The 20,734-nt window shown below is 44.0% G+C and overlaps 1 protein-coding gene across 11 annotated transcripts; it reads left to right on the top strand.

The window, feature by feature from the left end:
* The first annotated feature begins 896 nt into the window (after nucleotides 1–896).
* On the top strand, nucleotides 897–19,396 carry ZNF773 (zinc finger protein 773). 11 transcript variants are annotated; one of them, XR_007066799.1, is made up of 7 exons: nucleotides 897–1,072; nucleotides 5,616–5,745; nucleotides 6,261–6,359; nucleotides 7,317–7,552; nucleotides 9,479–9,523; nucleotides 13,981–14,110; nucleotides 17,013–17,382. XR_007066799.1 is itself a non-coding variant. In NM_001304335.3 (5 exons), the coding sequence occupies exons 1-5, from the start codon at nucleotides 1,040–1,042 to the stop codon at nucleotides 14,025–14,027; spliced, it is 351 nt and encodes a 116-aa protein (NP_001291264.1). In that variant the 5' UTR covers nucleotides 897–1,039; the 3' UTR covers nucleotides 14,028–19,396. The 11 variants fall into 11 exon arrangements, 5 of the variants coding, with proteins under 5 accessions (NP_001291264.1, NP_001291266.1, NP_940944.1 ...); XR_007066800.1 differs by lacking the exon at nucleotides 9,479–9,523; NR_130705.2 differs by lacking the exon at nucleotides 7,317–7,552.
* Nucleotides 19,397–20,734: the final 1,338 nt, after the last annotated feature.

Below are 20,734 nucleotides of genomic sequence, written 5' to 3' on the forward strand. Positions count from 1 at the left end.
CTCTCTCATCACCTACATCCAGAATTCAGAGCCTTTTCTTATTATCATACATCAGGCATTAATATTGGGTGTCCCCTTGCCAAAGGAAATTTAGGAAGGTATACGTGGCTTTGCCCAGTGAAACCTCTTTATGGTGGCCCTGAAGATCCTCTTCAAGTCCTTCAAAAGAAGGAAAGATTGGAGTATCAGCTGCAGGAAACTGAAATCCAGGCCCATCTCCAATTACAACAGGTTCCAGATGAGTCCGAGAGTTCTCGACACTCATTTCTCCTCCATCTCCTACTCCATCATCTCCATCTCCATCTTCTCCATCATCTCCATCTTCATCATCATCTCCATCTCCATCATCTCCATGTCCATCATCATCTCTATCTCCATCATCTCCATCTCCATCATCTCCATCTCCATCATCATCTCTATCTCCATCATCATCTCTATCTCCATCATCTCCATCTCCATCATCTCCATCATCTCCATCTCCATCTCCTACTCCATCATCTCCATCTCCATCTTCTCCATCATCTCCATCTTCTCCATCATCTCCATCTTCTCCATCATCTCCATCTTCATCATCTCCATTTCCATCATCTCCATCTCCATCATCATCTCTATCTCCATCATCTCCATCTCCATCATCTCCATCATCTCCATCTCCATCTCCATCTCCATCATCTACCGTCTCCAATCTCCATCTCCGAAGTTATGCCCACTTCCTCGAAGTTTGGAGCCACGCGAACTACACTGCCCAGAAGGCGCCGCGCCGTGAGCCGCGATGCTTGGCCAATGAAAAGAGGTCTACCCGAGAGTGCGACGCGCAATGGGCGGGACTTCCGGCGTCTCCCCTCGGCGGTTGCTTTCGCTGCCCTCAAGAGAACTCAGCTTGCCGGAAGCTGGTTGTTCGCTGCGGCGACCAGCTCCGGAAAGCGCGGTGGGGACGCGCTGTGTTCTCGCAGCTCAGAGGCGGGTCTGAGGCTCGGTGGCGGCGCCCAGGGTGGCCCGGGCCCTTTCCTCGGTCGTTGTCTCACCGCCACAGGCTCCGATGGCGGCGGCCACGCTGAGGGACCCCGCTCAGGTGAGCGCCGCGTCCTCCCGGCCTCCCCCGAATCCTAAAGCCCTGTGAGGGCCGCCTGCTCAGGTCCCCGGGTGCAGAACTGTGGGGCGTTCGTGGGCGGCGTCCCGTTTCTGACACGCAGTGTGATGGGGTGGCAATGGAGGGCAAGGGGCCCGGCTCGCAAAGATGTGAGGCGCATTCAGCGAGTCCCGAACCTGAGGCCTCCTGGTGTCTGTAGTGGGCAGCTTGGGAAGGGACGAGGCGCGTGTCGAGCGACAGCCCGAGCAGCTGCGCTTTCATCCTGAGGGGGCCACAGTGGCCGCGGAGGGCTGGAGACAGAAGAGTGACAAGATCTGTTTCTCAAAGTTTGCCAAAGGCCCTTCAAGTCAAAACAGACTGGGGTGGGGGTGAGGCGGGTGAAGACAGACCTGTGAGTAGGTAAATTCAGTAGACTAGTGGAGAGTCTACTGGGACTGGGCCACAGAGGAGGGGAAGTGATCAGATCTTGGATGGATTTCAAAAACTGAACAGACGGGAATTCCTGTTGCATCAGATGTGACTGTGAAAGAAAGTAGGGAATGAAGAGCCATTCTGGATTTTTATTTGTATTTTTGTTTGTTCCTGAATATCAGGAAGGATGGAGATGGGTAAGGCTGTGCAGGGAATAGGTTTTGGGCATGGTGATCCTGAGATGTCCCAGAGTGGAGGTGTCATGTCCACATGAGCAGCTGGAAGGCCTGGGGCTCGTATTTAGGAGGGAGAATCTTAAAGTTTTCTTTCAGATGGTCCCTGAGGTGAGGGAAGGGAGAGATGGGCCTGTAGGATGGGGCAGCCTCTACAGCCTGGAGTTTCGTGGTCCGAAGTGATTTTGTCTGGTGCCTGCAGGAATGGAGGGTTATAGAGTATGAACACCCAGGACTGGATGGAGACCGCAGTGTTGGGTAGTATATAGGTTTGCCACTCCAGGCTTAGTAGTTCCTCATGTCCAGTCCATATGGAGAAAAGGAAAGGTCAGCCAGGCTGGTGGAGCAGCACCTTTGGTGCCTAAGTTTCCCTAGCTATCAGCACAGGTGGGATGATCAACTGCTCCAGTAGAAGGGAGGGCTCTCAGCAGGATGGTCTTCAGGGGAGTATATAGCAGGCAGCCAGATTGCCAAAAGGAAACCCACATTGTCTTTCTTTTTCTTTCTTTTTTTTTTTTTTTTGAGACAGAATTCTGCTCTTGTGATCTGCCCACCTCGGCCTCCCAAAGTGTTGGGATTACAGGCTTGAGCCACTGCACCCAGGCAGAAACCCACATTTTGAAAACCTACCAGTTTATTTGCACTGAAAATGTTGACAGAAGCATTAATTATGTGTACAGTAAGAGTTGATATTTAGTCCTAGACACATAAGAATGAGTTTGATACAAACAATAGTCCTATTGAGTGAATACCATTATTGCCATGTTGCAGATGGCAATACCAAGGCACAGGGAAGTTGAGCATTTTTCCAAGGGCACACAACAGGTAAGAGGCATCACTAAGAACCAAAGCCCAGATTGCAGATAGTCAGGCACACCTGACTCCAGGCTAGACGAGGGGGCTTGGATGATCCTTTGGTAACATCACTGTCTGGTTCTCATGGTCTTGATTTTCCATAGGTTCTTGTGACTTCAGAGTTAGTTATAGACCATGAGAAGGTAAGTGGAGGATGTCTCAGGCCCTCACCCTCCTCAACTCCTACCTACATGGTCTTCAGAATTATGGTGTCTTGGGACTCCTTGCTGGCTATTCTCCCTCCCCTTCCATTTGAGTTCCCTGCAAAATGGTCATACAGTCAGGGTCCTGAGTCCAGACTACATATTATTATTTATTTATTTATTTTTGAGACGGAATTTAGCTCTTGTTGCCCAGGCTGGAGTGCAATGGTACAATCTCGGCTCACCGCAACCTCCACCTCCCAGGTTCAAGCGATTCTCCTGTCTGAGCTTCCCAAGTAGCTGGGATTACAGGCACGTGCCGTCACGCCCGGCTAATTTTGTATCTTTAGTAGAGACGGGGTTTCTCCATGTTGGTCAAGCAGGTCTCAAACTCCCAATCTCAGGTGATCCGCCCACCTCTGCCTCCCAAAGTGCTGGGATTATAGACATGAGCCATCACGCCTGGCCCAGATTATATGTTATATGGAGAGGTTCTCATTTCTGGCAACCAATGACAGGAGATTTAGAAGGCATAGTGATCAACATTAGAAAATACGTGGAGGTAAGGTTGAGCTGGGAATGCTTAGGCAACCTTAGATCTCCATTATGACTGGGGGAAGCATCAGCAGGTATAAGGCAGACCTGAAGTGGTTGGCTGAGGAGCTGGGCCTCTATTGTTTGTATTTTTGTTTGTTTGTTTTTTCCTGGATATCAGGAAGGATGGAAATGGGGAAGGCTACACAGGGATTACGGCCCAATCTTAACAAGCTTTTTCTGCTTTGAGAACACCTGTAGGGTTAAAGGTGGAGGCTGGGAGTCCAGCAAAGAGGCTACTACAGTAGTCTGTGTGAGTGCTGGACCAGAGTGGTGGCTGTGGACGTAGGAGATGTGGTTGAAGTCTGCGTTTTTTTTGTTTTGTTTTGTTTTTGTTTTTTTGAGATGGAGTCTCGCTCTGTCGCCCAGGCTGGAGTGCAGTGGCATGATCTCGGCTCACTGCAAGCTCCGCCTCCTGGTTCAAGCCATTCTCCTGCCTTAGCCTCCCGAGTAGCTGGGACTACAGGCACCTGCCACCACGCCCAGATAATTTTTTTGTATTTTTAGTAGAGATGGGGTTTCACCGTGTTAGCCAGGATGATCTCGATCTCCTAACCTCATGATCCGCCCGCTTTGGCCTCCCAAAGTGCTGGGATTACAGACATGAGCCACAGCGCCTAGCCAGAGTCTGTGTTTTTTAAGTAGATATGGGCAGATTTTCTAAAGTGTAGGGTGGGAGAAAGAGGTTAATGGTAAGAGTAATTTTCAGTGGGAATAATTAAGTTAGGTTTTGGCCATGTTGATATGAGATGTTCCAGAGACCCTTGAGTGGATTCATTGAGTGGGCACCTGGACAGAGAAGTCTGGAGTTCAGGTGAAGGGTTCAGATTGGAAACCCACATGATACAGTTGGTGTATGGACCAAATGGAGCAGTGGAGCAGATTTAGGAGGGAGCATCTTGAGGTCCTATTGGTAATGCCATTAGGTAATAAGGGAGAATGTATAGGGGCCAAGAACTGGGTCTCTTGCTTGGATACCTGGATGGGAGTGGTGGGTTTCACAAGGACATGAGGGAGAATGGTGGCCATGGGGAAAGGGATGTAGGGGTAAGGAGGGTCTGACTAGTGGCCAAAGTTCCTGTGGGGATAGACATGAGATGGACATGAAGATGAAGCTATAATGAGGTAAGATGACAGGAAGGCAGGCACTGCTGCTTATTCATCCAACTGTGGGATCACAAGGCTTTTGTTTTTACCTGGACCTGGGGAGTTTCTCAGGCTGCTGGATTAGCTCAAGATCAAATGAGGTCATCTGAGAGAATTGCTGGGCCTGGTTTGGGAGACGTGGGCTTTTTTTTTTTTTTTTTAAGATGGAATTTTGCTCTTGTTGCCTAGACTAGAGCGCAATGGCAAGATCTTGGCTCACGGCAACCTCCACCTCCCGGGTTCAAGCTGTTCTCCTGCCTCAGCCTCCCGAGTAGCTGGGATTACAGGCATGCGCCACCACCCCCAGGTTAATTTTGTATTTCGGGTAGAGACAGGGTTTCTCCATGTTGTTCAGGCTGGTCTCGAACTCCTGATCTCAGGTGATCCACCTGCCTCCGCCTCCAAAAGTGGCAGGATTACAGGCATGAGCCACCATGCCTGTCCTGGCCTTCGATTCTAATGAGAGTCAGAGGAACGCTGACATTGGGCAGGAACAGCTTTTCAACACAGAAATGGAAGAGTGCCACAGGTGTCCAGATATGCGTGCAGTTCCAAGTAGCTGAAGGTGAAGCAACAAAAAGAGCCCAGTAGAGAGGCCTTCAAAGTGGGGCTGAGGGTTGCCCCTGGTAGTCAGTGCCATTGGAGGTCTAGGAAGGGATGGAGTTCTGATTGCATTTGGTGAGTGCCCTCTGGATGCCATGTGTAGACTAGAATGTGGTGACGCTAGGGGAGGCACATAAGGTGGTGCAGGGGGCAGTGGTTGTGGTACAGAGTATGTGCACATTCTAATGAGTGTAAACAGATGTCCCCAGGGACCTTGTATTGGGTGCTTCAGGGAGAACACTGACACAAATTTGATTGTATTTGGGAAACACAATCTGGGGGATCCAAGGTGAGTTGTCTGGCAAGAGAAGAGTAGGACTCTGCATACCATGCCCAGAGCTGAGATGGACTTTATCTGCCTACCTGCCTCTGCTTGCTCAGTGGGAACATGAGGAGAGAGTGGGCATCAGTGGTTCTGGGGCAGGGTCTCTCTTCTGAGATGGGGATTAAGGAAGAGGGTGAGCAGGGGTGGATGTTTAGGGGGATGCCTAAATTCCCCAGTAAGGAGACCGCAGATAAACTCAACTCTGTCCATCTTAGCAGGGCTATGTGACCTTTGAGGACGTGGCTGTCTACTTCTCCCAGGAGGAATGGAGATTGCTTGATGACGCTCAGAGGCTCCTCTACCGCAATGTGATGCTGGAGAACTTTACACTTCTGGCCTCTCTGGGTAAGGTTCTCACACCCCACCCCAGCATCCTGAGCTGGACTTGGCTTTTCCTCCTTTTCCTAGGGAGAGGTCTGTTCTTCCCAAAGCTGAACTGTGGGCACTCATTCCTTCTCCAGTATCCTGAAGTAGCTATTGTAATAGGCCTGGGCTGTGTATACTACCACCTTCTCTCCCTGAGCTGCCCCACAGCTGTGCAGGAAAGGGTTTGGGGGTCAGGAGTCTTGCAGTCAGCTTGATGGATCTTATCCCTGGTGGCCTCTCTGTGGCCTGGTGACACTGTGCAGATCTGTGGTAGTTCTATTCCCCTACATTCTGCCTGTCTCCTCTAGCCAACATACCTGGGTGTCGGTCTGTGCCAGCAATTGAGTCACCAATGTGATTGCTGTTTGACTGGGTTGTTCCTGCAAGACCCTCCTCCAAGGTTCTTTCTGTACTATTTTGTTTTCTTTCCTGTGGTCCATGATGAGATAAGTCATTCTGGCTCAGTGCTGCCACTCACCTGTCGTTTTCCTTAGGACTTGCATCTTCCAAGACCCATGAAATAACCCAGCTGGAGTCATGGGAGGAGCCCTTCATGCCTGCTTGGGAAGTTGTGACTTCAGCCATACTGAGAGGTACTTGGTGGGTGGAGCTCAGGGAGGTATGAACTCGGGTATGGGTTTGTATCATACCAGGAGTCTTTCCAGTGGGCCCAGATATTTTGATACCAAGGCAAGGTGTCGTCGCTGATTTCTATCTTTTCTTCCTCAGTCACCCATTTATATCTATTCTGATAGTTGACCCAGGGCCATTCCCCACCTCTCTGTACTCCATGTTTCACCCCATCCTCAGCAGCACCTTTCAGCAGTGGCTTTCACTGAATGTGTGGTGAGGTGGGGCGCTTATTCTTGCATAGTCCTTGGACACCAACTATTTCATTCCAGTTGTTTTTTTTTTTTTTTTTTGACAGAGTCTTGCTCTGTCGCCTAGGCTGGAGGGCAGTGGCGTGATCTCGGCTCACTGCAAGCTCCGCCTATCAGGTTGATGCCATTCTCCTGCCTCAGCCTCCTAGTAGCCAGGACTACAGGCGCCCGCCACCATGCCTGGCTAATTTTTTGTATTTTTAGTAGAGACTGGGTTTCACCATGTTAGCCTGAATGGTCTCGATCTCCTGACCTCGTGATCTGCCCGCCTTGGCCTCCGAAAGTGCTGGGATTACAGGCATGAGGCACCGCGCCCATCCTGCAGTTGTTTTTTTCTGGACCTGGATATAACCTTCTGTGCCGTGTTCCTGTGTCTCCAGCAGCCAAAACCCTGTGGAAAGCCATTTGCAGAGGATTGTGTTGGGGACTCTGCCTCTCCTCCTTGTGCTACACCACATCCTTGCATCCTTGGTGCTCATGAGGCCTCCCCAAATCTGTGAGCTAGCCAGGTTCAGCACTGCACAGCAGGCCCTTCCCCACCAAGCGCTAGCCCCCTCATTCTGCAAGCAGTCCCACACGCTAATTACCAGGTGTGTCAGACACGTGTGAGAGTGCTGCCTTCTCACACCAAAGACTACATTTACTTCATCAACATTTCTCTTCTTTCAGGTAGTTGGCAAGGAGCCAAGGCTGAGGCAGCTGCTGAGCAGAGTGCTTCTGTAGAAGTGCCCAGTTCAAACGTTCAGCAACACCAGAAGCAGCACTGTGGAGAGAAACCCTTAAAAAGACAAGAGGGCAGGGTCCCAGTTTTGAGGAGTTGCAGAGTCCACCTATCAGAGAAGTCCTTGCAAAGCAGGGAAGTTGGGAAGGATCTTCTGACCAGCTCAGGTGTTCTCAAGCACCAGGTGACTCACACGGGAGAGAAGTCACATAGGAGCTCCAAAAGTAGGGAGGCCTTTCATGCTGGAAAAAGGCATTACAAATGCAGTGAATGTGGGAAAGCCTTTGGTCAGAAATATTTACTTGTTCAGCACCAGAGACTGCACACTGGGGAAAAGCCTTATGAATGCAGTGAATGTGGGAAGTTATTTAGCCATAAGTCCAACCTTTTTATACACCAAATAGTTCACACTGGAGAAAGGCCTTATGGGTGTAGTGACTGTGGAAAATCCTTTAGCCGTAATGCTGACCTCATTCAACACCAGAGAGTTCACACTGGAGAAAAGCCTTTTACATGCAGTGAATGTGGAAAAGCTTTCAGGCATAATTCCACACTTGTTCAGCATCACAGAATCCACACTGGAGTAAGGCCTTATGAGTGCAGTGAATGTGGAAAATTGTTTAGTTTCAACTCCAGCCTCATGAAACATCAGAGAGTTCACACTGGAGAAAGACCTTATAAGTGCAGTGAATGTGGAAAATTCTATAGCCACAAGTCCAGCCTTATCAATCATTGGCGTGTTCACACTGGAGAAAGGCCTTATGAGTGCAGTGAATGTGGGAAATTTTTTAGCCAAAGCTCAAGCCTCATGCAACATCGAAAAGTTCACACTGGAGAAAAACCTTTTAAGTGCAATGAATGTGGGAGATTCTTTAGTGAGAATTCCAGCCTTGTTAAACATCAGAGGGTTCACACTGGAGCAAAGCCTTATGAGTGCAGGGAATGTGGGAAATTTTTTCGCCACAGCTCCAGTCTTGTTAAACATCGAAGGATTCACACTGGAGAAATACAATGATTGTGAGAAATCCTTTAGCTGGTGTTTCAACCTCATTCAACACCAGAAAGTTCACAGTGTAAAAAAGTCTTGAAGGTTACTAATGGAAATCCATTAGCTATACCTCCAAACTCATTCAACACTGGACAGTTCACAGAGTGGACAATGTAGTGAATATGGTAAAAGGCCTCAGCCAAAGGCCTAACCGTATTCAACACCAGAAAGTTTAGACTGGAGAAAGGCCTTAGACTGTCGCTGAATCAATATGACCTGACTTAAAGCAGAAACAGCCAGGCGTGGTGGCTGACACCTGTTATTCTCACCACTTTGGGAGGCTGAAGCGGGCGGATCACAAGGTCAGGACATCGAAACCATCCTGGTTAACACAATGAAACCACATCTCTACTAAAAATACAAAAATTTACTGGGCATGGTGGTGGGCGCCTGTAGTCCCAGCTACTCAGGAGGCTGAGGCAGAAGAATGGCATGAACCTAGGAGGCAGAGTTTGCGGTGAGCTGAGATCACGCCACTGCACTCCAGACTGGGTGACAGAGTGAGACTCTGTCTAAAAAAAAAAAAAAAAAAAATTAGCCCGGCGTGGTGGCAGGCAACTGTAGTCCCAGCTACTTGGGGGGCTGAGGCAGGAGATTTGCTTGAACCCGGGAGGCGGAGGTTGCATTGAGCCGAGATCACGCCACTGCACTCCAGCTTGGGTGACAGAGTGAGACTTCGTCTCAAAAAAAAAAAAAAAAAACAAAAAAAACCCAGAAACTCTGAGGGTGATCTTTATGAGGGAGCTGGCAATTGAACATCATTCATCCAAATATGCACACTGGAGGCAGGATGAGAATTCCTGATAGATTGTTCCTCCTGAGAAAATAGCCCTCTGTCTTGGAGCTCCAGAGAGAGGGAGCCCTGTATTGGCTGCACCAGTCGAATGGAGTTTTAATCTCACTGAGTTTGGAGTTGGGGGAGGAAAGGAGTGGTCTCGATTCAGATGTTACTCACTTTTGCTGTTCTTATGAATGTTAGATCTTCTTTAATAAATATTTACTTGCCATAAACCCTTATGTCCGCTTCCAGAGACTGAATTGTGTTTTTATAATTTTCACCAGTTTGGCTGCGTAACAGGTCGGCAAATCTCCTCACTCAGATATTCTGTAAGTTGATCCAAATGTTTCAAATTTTAAGAACTTGCCAAATTGTGTTCTAAATGGTTAGCATTTCATATTTCCTCCTGGAATATATTAGATTTTCCATTTCTTCATATTACTGACAGTTTACATGTATGGAAGTCATAGGCCATTCATTTTAACCATTTTACTAAGTGTGCAGTAGTATTTCATTGTAGTTCTTAATTTGTATTTTTCGAATGACTCAGTTTTGAGCATTTTTAAATGTGCTTATTCGTCACACGTATATCTTCGTTAGTCAAATGTCAGTTGGTATTTTTTGCCTGTTTTTTTAAAATATTTGGTTGCAAGTTGTTAACATTTCTGAAGACAAATTCCTTATTTGATATAAGCGTTGGCAGTATTTTTTCATGGTCTGTGGCTTTTGTTTTCTTTCTAAAAAATTAGAGTTGAGGTCTTGGTATGTTACATAGACTAGTCTCTAACCCCTGGCCTCAAGTGATCATCCTGCCTCAGCCTCCCAAAATGCTGGGATTACAGGCATGAGCCACCATGCTTGGCCTTGTTTTCAGTTCTTAACAGTATCTTTCCTAGAGGAGATTGTCCTAATTTTTATGAAGCCCAGTTTATCCATTTGTTATCTTATTCCTTGTGCATTTGGTGTTCTATTCTCTTACTATACCATATCTTTGCCTATAAATAAAAGCCTTATGTGAGTATGCTACTGTAGTCTTAGGAATCTTTTTAAATATCCAACTTCTGAAATATTTGTAGGTTTAACTACAGATAAAGAATTTGATGTATATAGATAATGTGTACATATTCCCTATCTTTTGTGAGATATCCTAGCAAGCAGTGGCATTCCAGTAGCTTTGAGCATATTTAATGCCCAGTTATTGGCTTATATAATTTTTTAATAAAAGGAAGCAGAACTCCTTAGAGAAGAGGCTGTTTTCTGGTTGTGGCAGAAAAGGTACAACATGAGTCTAGGAAATATTGCATTGGAAAGTAAAGAGATGCTCACAGAATAATGTTGATGTATTAGCTTTCTATTGCTATCCTGACAAATCACCACAAACTTACGGTTTAAACAACACAAATATATTATCTTACAGTTCTTTAGGTCATAAGTATAACACAGGTATCACTGGGTGAAAATCAAAGTGTTGGCATGATTGTGTTCCTTTCTAGAGTCTCATGGAGAATCTGTTTCTTGCTTATTTTGAGTTGTTAGCATATTTAAGTTCTTTGTGGTTGTAGGACTGAGATTCCTTTTTCTTGATGGCATCAGCTGAGGGTCATTCCTAAAACATGTAAGAACTTTTATGAAATATTAAAGGAAGAAGTAATACCAATTATATACAAACTCTTCCAAAAAGAGAAAAGTTCAAACACTTCTGAACTATATGAAAGTTATCATTAACAGGACAGCAAAGAGGCAATGACATAAAACTATAGACCAATAACCACATGAATATAGACAGAGCCTTAACAAAATTTTAGCAAATTGAGGCACTTGTCCTTCAAATCACCCCGCTGGGTCTCTTCCAAGTATACTTCCCTTTCTTTCTTGTTGTAAAGCCTTTTTAAATAAACTTGCACTCATGCTAAAACAAAACAAAAAGACATTTAGCAAATTGAATCCAGCCATATACAAACAATAATAAATCATAACCTAGTGAGGTTTATCAAGAATAGAAGTTAGATTCAACAATTCAAACTCTTTGTTAATCTGTATTAGCAGACTAAAATGAAAATCTCAAAATGTAATAAAAGCATTTTACAAAATTCAAAACTCGGTTATGATACACACAGCAAACTAGAACAAGATGGTGATTTCTTCCACCTGATACAGCACATCTATGAAAAACAAACAGCTAACAGCACATTTGATATATATGTGATCAAATATTTGATAAGTTGATTTTCCCCAACATTAGGAATAACATAAATATGTCAACATTTATCACTTCTCATTAAAAACAAAAAGTCTTAAGATTGTAAAGGCAGAACCCAAACTCTTTATTTACATATAACATGATAATATTGAAAATTCTAAATTGTCTACTAAAAAGCTACTAGATCTAATAATTGAGTTTAGCAAGGTCCTAAGATAAAAAGGCCAGTGTATACAAAGTATATATCACTATTCTAAGTTGGTATATAGCTGGCAAATACATGCTTGGCAACTGAAAAAATGTACTTCACAATAGCATAAAAATATGAAATATTTAGAAATAAATTTAACAAAATATGTTCAAGAACTATAAAAATAAAACATTCCTGAGAGACATTAAGGAAGGCATAAATAAATGACACAAGAAGTTCCTGAATCTGAGATTTAATATTTTTAAGTTGTCAGTTTTCCTTTAACTGTTCTATAGGTTGAGACGATCCCAATAAAAACCTAATCTTTTAAATAAAAATTTACAAATGTATTCTAAAAAGTTACATGGAAATGCAAAGGGCCTGGACTAATTGCCAAAACAATTTTATTTATTTTATTTTATTTTATTTATTTTTTTTTTTTTTGAGACGGAGTTTCGCTGTCACCCAGGCTAGCGTGCAGTGGCATGATCTCAGCTCACTGCTGTGTCTGCCCCCTGGGATTCATGCCATTCTCCTGCCTCAGCCTCCTGCGTAGCTGGGACTACAGGTACCCGCCACCTCTCCCGGATACTTTTTTGTATTTTTTAGTAGAGACGGGGTTTCACCATGTTAGCCAAGATGGTCTCGATCTCCTGACCTCGTGATCTGCCCGCCTCAGCCTCCCAAAGTGCTGGGATTACAGGCGTGAGCCACCATGCCCGGCCAACAATTTTATAAATAAGAATAAATTTGAAAACCTTTATGACTTCAAGACTTATGAATGTACGGTAATTGAGAGAGTAAAGTATTAGCTAAAGGACAGACATAGAGATGAACAGAAGAGAATAGAGAACCCGGAAATACACTCACACAACACTCTATTGTCAATCTCTTTTCAACAAAGTTGCAAAAGTAGTAAAACAACTTCAGAAAACAGTGTAGCAGCTTTAAAGGTAGCATAAACTTACCATATAGCTTAGGAATCTTACCTATAGGGATATCCCCAAGAGAACAAAAACATGTGTCCTAGAAATACTTACACTTGCATGCTCAGCAGTTTTATTTATAAAAGCCAAACACTAGAAGCTGTTTTTCACACACACACACACACATACACACATACACACACTCAAAACTAAAATGTCCATGAACAGAAGAAGGAATAATCAATTATGGTATATCCTTAAAATACCATTCAACAACATAAAAAATAAACTATGAATACAAGCAAAAACAGCATAGATAAAAAAAAGCCCTGAGCTGAGTGGAAGAAGCCAGACACAAAAGTTGACATACAGTATGATTCCATTTATATGAAATGAAGAAGCTGCAAAACTAGAGTAAAAGAATGCAGATCACTGGTTATTGGGCCTGTGGTCTGAGGGTGAAGGTTCTGACTGAAAGAGTACAGGAAAATGTTATCAGGCAATGGTAATTTTCTCTATCATGACTGTGTTGGTGGTTTCATGACAGTACAGCTGACCCTTAAATAACACAGGTTTGAAATGTACAGGTCCAATTATATGTGAATTTTATTTCAATAAATATATTGGAAAGTTTTTTGAATATTTGAGACAATTTCCAAAAACCAGAATTCATTGAAATAAGTATGTCAAGAATGCATAATACAAAATATATGTAGGTACTATTTTATCATTTACTACCATAAAATATACATAAATCTATTATACAAGGTTAAAATTAGTCAAGAGTCACATAAACACAGACTGTACTTGGTGCTTCCAGAGAAATGTAAACAAACACAAGATGCAGTATTTTTTTTTTTTTTTTTTTTTTGAGATGGAGTCTCTCTCTGTCACCAGGCTGGAGTGCAGTGGCATGATCTTGGCTCACCGCAACCTCTGCCTCCCAAGTTCAAGTGATTCTCCTGTCTCAGTCTCCTGAGTAGCTGGAACTACAGGTGTGCACCACCACGCTGAGCTAATTTTTGTATTTTTTAGTAGAGACAGGGTTTCACCACGTTGGTCTGTGTTGGAGGTCAAAAGAATTAGGGTCATGACCAACTCAGTATGCCACTGGAGACTATATGAGCAAACAACAAACTAGTCTCATGAATGCAGTATGTTGGCAAGCCTACAACTGTGTCTGCAGCCAGATGGAATGCTAAGGGCAGTCACACCCCAGGTGCAGTGTTCCTTGTGGTTATCTACAGGAACATCTGGAGTCTGTTGTATAAAGAAAGCAATTATGTGAGCCTGTGATAAATCAAGCAGCTGACCAACTGTTACGTCTTCCTCTCTGTGGATTCTACCTAATAAATACAAAGGGCTGTAGAAGCTCAGGGCCCTTGTTCCCTAGAAGCAAGGAGCCCTCTGACCCCTTCTTTAAAACAGATCTTTTTGTCTTCATTTCTGCATTTGTCCTTCTTCATTCAGTCCCGAACCGACAGCCACAAGTGGCGCCCGAACAGGGACGTGAGTGAAGAAGGTCTGCTGGAGCAGAGAAAGTGAAACTGACCAGAAGAATGAGAAACCCCAGGACAAGTCTGCTGGCAGTGGATATAAGGTCAGTGCCCTAAAGAGGTACTGGGAGTGGGAAGTTTCTGAATCAGGGTAACATAGGGCAGAATTTGTCTGCTGAAGAGCAACATTATATGCAGTCACTTAAAGGTTTACTTAAACAATCTGGTGCTCAGGTTAGTTCTCAAACACTAGCTAAGCTGCTGCAGGAGGTTATCACGCATAACCCATGGTTTCCACAGACAGACACTCTTGATGTGGAAAACTGGGGTGAAGATTTGCTTACGGCATAGGATATGAGACTTACAAATTAAACTATTGGCAATCCAGGATTTAAAATGTTAAAGAAAATGAGATATCAGAGCAGACAAGGCTTAGGAAAGTCCCTACAGGAAAACCCTGATCCTATATCAATAACTGGGCAAACAGATAGAAAAGGGCTAGGTCGTCAGATTTCTGATGTGGGTCATTGATATTTCTCCTCCACCCACTGCTTTGCCACTAGAGTGGCTAACAAACCTGTATGGGTGGATCAATGGCCCCTTTCACAGGAGAAACTAACTCAACTCCATCAGCTAGTAAAAGAGCGATTGGATGCAGGACATATTGAAGAGTCAGCCCCTGGAATTCACCAGTATTTGTAATACCAAAAAAGTCAGGAAAATGGGGACTGCTACATGATTTGAGAGCTATTAATGCACAGATTAAACCAATGGGTGCATTACAGCAAGGTCTGCCATCCCTGGCAGGCATTTCCAAGAGACTGGCCTCTTGTAGTAATAGATCTTATTGTTTTTTTTACTATACTATTACATCAGCAGGATAGGCCTGGATATGCCTTCTCTGTGCCTTCTGTTAATCAAAGGGAGCCTGTCTCTTGTTATCAATGGAAAGTTTTGCCCCAAGGCGTGCTTAACAGTCCTACATTATATCAGAATTTTGTAGGACAGGCATTAAAGGAGCCTTGTAATGTGTTTCCCACTGGCTATGTCATTCATTATATGGATGATATTCTTTTGGCCGCTCCTACAGATCAAATCTTACATCAGTTATTCAGAGAAACAAAACAGGCTTTGACTAAATGGAATCTCAAAATAGCTCCTGAAAAGGTGCAAACCACCTCCCCATACCAGTACTTAGGCACTATTATTACTGAAAGAAGTGTTCAGCCTCAGAAAGTAGTCATCTGTAGGGACAGATTACAAACTTTGAATGATTTCCAACAATTATCAGGGGACATTAATTGGCTGCACCCAATGCTAGGTATTGCTACTTATTAACTCAAACACCTTTATCAGACCCTCCAAGGAGATTCTTCATTAGACTCTCCTCGGCAACTTACTAAGGAGGCAGAAGCTGAATTATAGCTTGTAGAACAGATGCTTCAGCAACAACATGCCACCTGGTTACAGCCACAAAAGCCTTTGCTTCTGTTTATTCTTCCTACCTCCCATTCTCCAACAGGACTTTTAGGCCAATTCATACACAAATCTGTAATAGTATTAGAATGGCTTTTTTATCCAATCAGACAGTGAAATCTTTGCAAATTTATCTTTCTTTAATTACTCAACTTATAACAATAGGTAGGCATAGATCAAAAATGTTTATGGGATGTGATCCAGACAAAATTATTGTTCCCTTGGATTCCCAACAACAGGCCACAGCATGGGAAATGTCGACTGCATGGCAAATCACTCTCACAGATTTTGTAGGAATAATAGATAACCATTATCCATCAGACAAAATTTTGCAATTTTATGAAGTTCACCCTTTTACCCTTCCTGTAATCACTCATCACAAGCCTATTCCAGGCAGACAGACCTATTTTACTGATGACTCTTCTAAAGGCTGTGCAGCTATTTATGGACCTAAGCATACTGAAACAATAAAGACCTCTGGAGTTTCAGCTCAATGCTCAGAATTAGTGGCAGTTATTCAAGTTTTACAGCTCACCGCTTTATCTCCTATTAACATTGTCTGTGATTCAGCCTATATTGTAAATGTAGCCAGTCACATTGAGACTGCCACTATTAAAAGCACCCTAGAACCAGAGCTGTATAATTTGTTTCTAAGACTTCAACAAGCTGTTCACTCTCATGCTGCTCCTTTTCATATTTCTCATATTTGCTATCACACACAACTTCCTGGACCACTATCTCTAGGTAACAATAAAGCAGATAAACTAATCGGTTCTGTATTTCAACAAGCCCAATCTTCTCATGCATTCCTGCATCAAAACACCTCTGCCCTTACTCGTATGTTTCATCTGCCTTGCAGCCAGGCTTGAGCTATTGCGCAAGCCTACCCCACTTGCCAGCCTGTCCCTGGCGTTGCACCCATGGAAGGATGTAACCCACTAGGCTTGGCTCCATATGAAATCTGGCAGATGGATGTTACACATATAGCAGCCTTTGGCAAACTCAGCTATGTTCATGTGACTACAGACACTTACTCCCATATGCTACATGTCACGTGCCAAACTGGGGAAACAGCTGGTCATGTCTGATGACATTGTCTGTCACCTTTTGCCCATATGGGGGTCCCTACACAATGAAAAACTGACAATGGACCTGCTTATGTTAGTCATGCTTTTCAAAATTTTTTACAGTTATGGGCAATCACTCATAAAACAGAAATTCCTTACAATCCTCAAGGACAAGGAATCATAGAGTGGGCACATCAAACATTACAATGCATGTTGAAAAAACAAAAATGGGGACTAGGAGACCAGCTACCACCTCAAACAAAATTACATTTAGCCTTATTTACTTTAAATTTTTTGACTCCTGGTATGGATATTAAGACTCTGGCAGAATGACATTGGCAAATGTTAGAGGGAAAAAGGAAAGTTTACCCAAAGGTATTACAGAAATCCCCGGAAGAAGGACAATGGAAAGGCCCGGTAGACTTACTGATATGGGGACGAGGGTTTGCTTGTGTTTTTACAGGAGATGGACAATCCGTGTGGGTGCCCTCAAGGTGTGTGTGACCATGGAACGGGAGACTGGAGAAATCCATGGATCTCAACTGTGGGCCCAGCTCCTCCAGTACGAGCCATGAGCTAGTTGAATCTGAATGCAAAGACAGAACAAGGACCGACTGGAGTCACACTGACATCAACCCCCATAAAATGGGGACAGCTCAAGAAAACCACACAGGAAGCTGAGAAACTGCTGGAGCAAAACCCCTGACTCCATGTTTATGGCCATGCTAGCTGTAATATCCTGTGCGGTATGTTTTCCCTGTGCAGAGGCAAAAACTTATTGGGCATATATTCCTAACCCACCAGTAGTACGACCGGTACTCGGGAGCAACACTCCTCCTGAGATATATCATGATCAGGGAGCATGGACACCAGGACCCCTAACTCCCCCTGACAGAGAGTGATTAGATTCTCAGAACAATGGTATCAATTATACTGCACCATTGGAGGGACTTCTTTATGTGTCACCCAGGATGCATCACTCAACCGCAGTTGCCTTGCAATTCAGTCCCAAGCATGCTTGAGTTACCATGGAAAAATTATGTACCTATTAGGCCTTAGCTCTATTAATATTACTGGTGTAGTTACTAATCACTCCTGGCCCCATCACCCAAATTGTATTGATTGTACAGAATGGGCTCCCTTTGATAATTCTCACCCCTGTCCTTGGACTCAGTGTCTTGGCCCCTTAGCTAAACAACAGTCCATGTTAATGGGAGACATTATCGACTGGGGTCCCCATGGTCATTTAGATGGGAGAAGTGAGAATCAGACCTCATGGCATAAATTTTGCTGGCACTGGTGGCGAAACTTGAACATCTCTTCGCTACATCCCAATCTGCTACACAACTTGCTTGGCACAGAATGGGCTTTAGCCCACCTTTGCCTCAATGGCATTATCAAGGAAAGAGAGGTCCAATTCAGGAGTCAATATGGAAGACAGCACTCCCATTTATGAATGGCAGCATTTGGGTTGGGACACTATCCAATAATAGTAATAATGCTCAATGCAGTTTTAATGTTACCTTTGTAGAAAATACTACCACACAGTTTACAATTTGTATTTTTAATCCGTATGTTTTTCTAGCAGCAAAAAAGGACCAACTCCGGGTAAACAATGCCCAATCGATTTGTGATGCCTGTCAACTGTATCATTGCCTTAATCATAGCACAATACAAACACACAGCATATCCACCCTAATAATTCTAGGTCACATTCCTGGATTATAGATTCCTGTAAATCTGTCCGAGCCTTGGGAGGCCACCCCCGCTTTACATTTTGTAAAACTCCTTCTTATTCAGCTTACTCATCGTGCTCGTAGAGCTTTAGGCATGATAATTTTTGCTATAATTTCCCTAGTCACACTAATAACCTCTGCTGTGTTGTCCTCAGTAGCACTGCACAGCTCCATTCAAACAGCTCAATGTGTGAAAAATTGGATGTGCACAGCCGACCAGGAATGGATGCTTCAAAATAAAATTAACACCAAGATACAAACAGAAGTGGCAATGTTAAAGACTACTGTTCTGTGGCTAGGATAACAAATACAAAGCCTGAAGTTGCAGCAGCAATTGCATTGTCATTTTAACCCTATTCATATTTGTGTAACTAATTTGGAATATAATCAAAGTGAATATCCAAGGAACTTTGTAAAGGCCCATTTACAGGGAGTTTTACATTCAATGTTACTTTTGATATTAATGATTCACAAAGTAAAATCCTTAACTTGAATAAGCAGACTCAAGTGCTTCAGCCCTCTTTAAAAGCTTGGGCAGAATTCCAGCAAGGTTTAGGGAGCCTTAACCCTTGGACCTACTTCAAACAGCACCTCAATGTCTTTTTTGTGATTATCGGAATAATGTTATTATGTTTCTGTTTTTTGTTCATAGTCTGTAAAATCAGCTGGACCACCAACCGGCAATTGAGAGCTGCACAGCCTGCAATTACCTTTATTCAATTAATACAAAAACAGAAAAGGGGGGAGGTTGGAGGCCGAAAGAATGAGGGTCGTGACCAACTCAGTATACCACTGGAGGCTATATGAGCAAACAGCAAACTGTTCTCATGAATGCAGGATGCTGGCAAGCTGACAACTGCATCTGCCACCAGAAGGAATGCTGAGGGCAGTCATACCCCACGTGCAGTGTTCCTTGTGGTTATCTATAGGAACATCTGGAGGCTGTTGTATAAAGAAAGCAATTATGTGAGCCTGTGATAAATCAAGCAGCTGACCAACCATTACCTCTTCCTCCCTGTTGATTCTACCTAATAAATACAAAGGGCTGTAGAAGCTCAGGGCCCTTGTTCCCTAGAAGAAAGGAGCCGCCTGTCTCCTTCTTTAAAACAGATCTTTTTGTCTTTGTCTTCATTTCTGCATTTGTTCTCTTTTGTTCAGTCCCAAACCGACAGCCATAGGCCAGGATGGTCTTGATCTTTTGACCTCATGATCTGCCCACCTCGGCCTCCCAAAGTGCTGGGAGCCACCACACCCAGCCAAAGATGCAGTATTAAGTCATAATCGTGCATGTGTGTATGTGTGTGTTTGAATAGACAGAGTCTCCCTCTGTCGCCCAGGCTGGAGGGCAGTGACATGATCATAGATTGCTGCATACTCAAACTCCTGGGCTCAAGTGATCCTTCTGCGTCGGCCTCCCCAGCAGCTGAGACCACAAGCACATGCCACCACACTGGCTAATTTTAAAATGTTTTCTGTACAGGCTGGGCATGGTGGCTCACACCTGTAATCCCAGCATTTTGGGATGGTTGGCAGGTCCCAGAAGTTTGAGACCAGCCTGGGAAATATAGTAAGACCCCATCTCTACAAAAAAACAAAGACAAATTAGCTGGGTATGGTGCCACGCACTTGTGGTTCCAGCTACTCGGGGAGCTGAAGTAGGAGTATCACCTGAGCCCAGGAGGTTGAGGCTGCAGTGAGCTGTGATTGTGCCACTGCACTCCAGCCTGGGTAACAGAGTAAGACCCTGTCTCAACAATTTTCTGTAGAGGCAGGGGTCTCGCTATGTTGCCCAGGCTACTCTCCAACTCCTGGCCTCAAGCAATCTTCCCACCTTGAGCTCCCAAAGTGCTGGGATTACAGGCATAAGCCATCATGCTGGGCTGATAAAATTAACTACAGGACATACTACAGTACCATAATAATTTTGTAGACATCTCCTGTTGTTCACAGTGTTGTGAGTATTCACTTAAAGAACCCCATGATGTTAATCATCTCCACATGAGCAGTTCATCTCTCCAGTAAATCACATATTGCAGTAAAAAGTGATCTCTCAAGGTTCTAATATATTATTCATAGTGTTTAGTGCGATATTGTAAACTTTAAGTAACGCTATATGGCCTATATGAAGTGCCAGTAGTGATGCTGGAAGTGCTCCCAAGAAGCAGGGAAAAGTCATGACATTATAAGAAGCAGCTGAACTGCTTGATATGTACTATAGATTGAGGTTTGCAGCTGTAGTTGCCCACCATTTCAAGATAAATTAATCCAGTATGAGGATCATTGTTAAAAACAAACAAAAAAGGAAATAAAGACATTGCTGCAGCTATGCCAGCAGGCACAAAAATCTTGCATTTTCTGCAAAATATATCTTTTATCTCATTTAAAAATGCAGCTTTCATGTGGGTGCAGAATTGCCATGGGTAAGGCATACAGAGAGACTCAAATACGA

This window comes from Homo sapiens, chromosome 19 (genome assembly GCF_000001405.40).
Source record: "Homo sapiens chromosome 19, GRCh38.p14 Primary Assembly".
In the NCBI taxonomy this organism is placed as follows: Eukaryota; Metazoa; Chordata; class Mammalia; order Primates; family Hominidae; genus Homo; species Homo sapiens.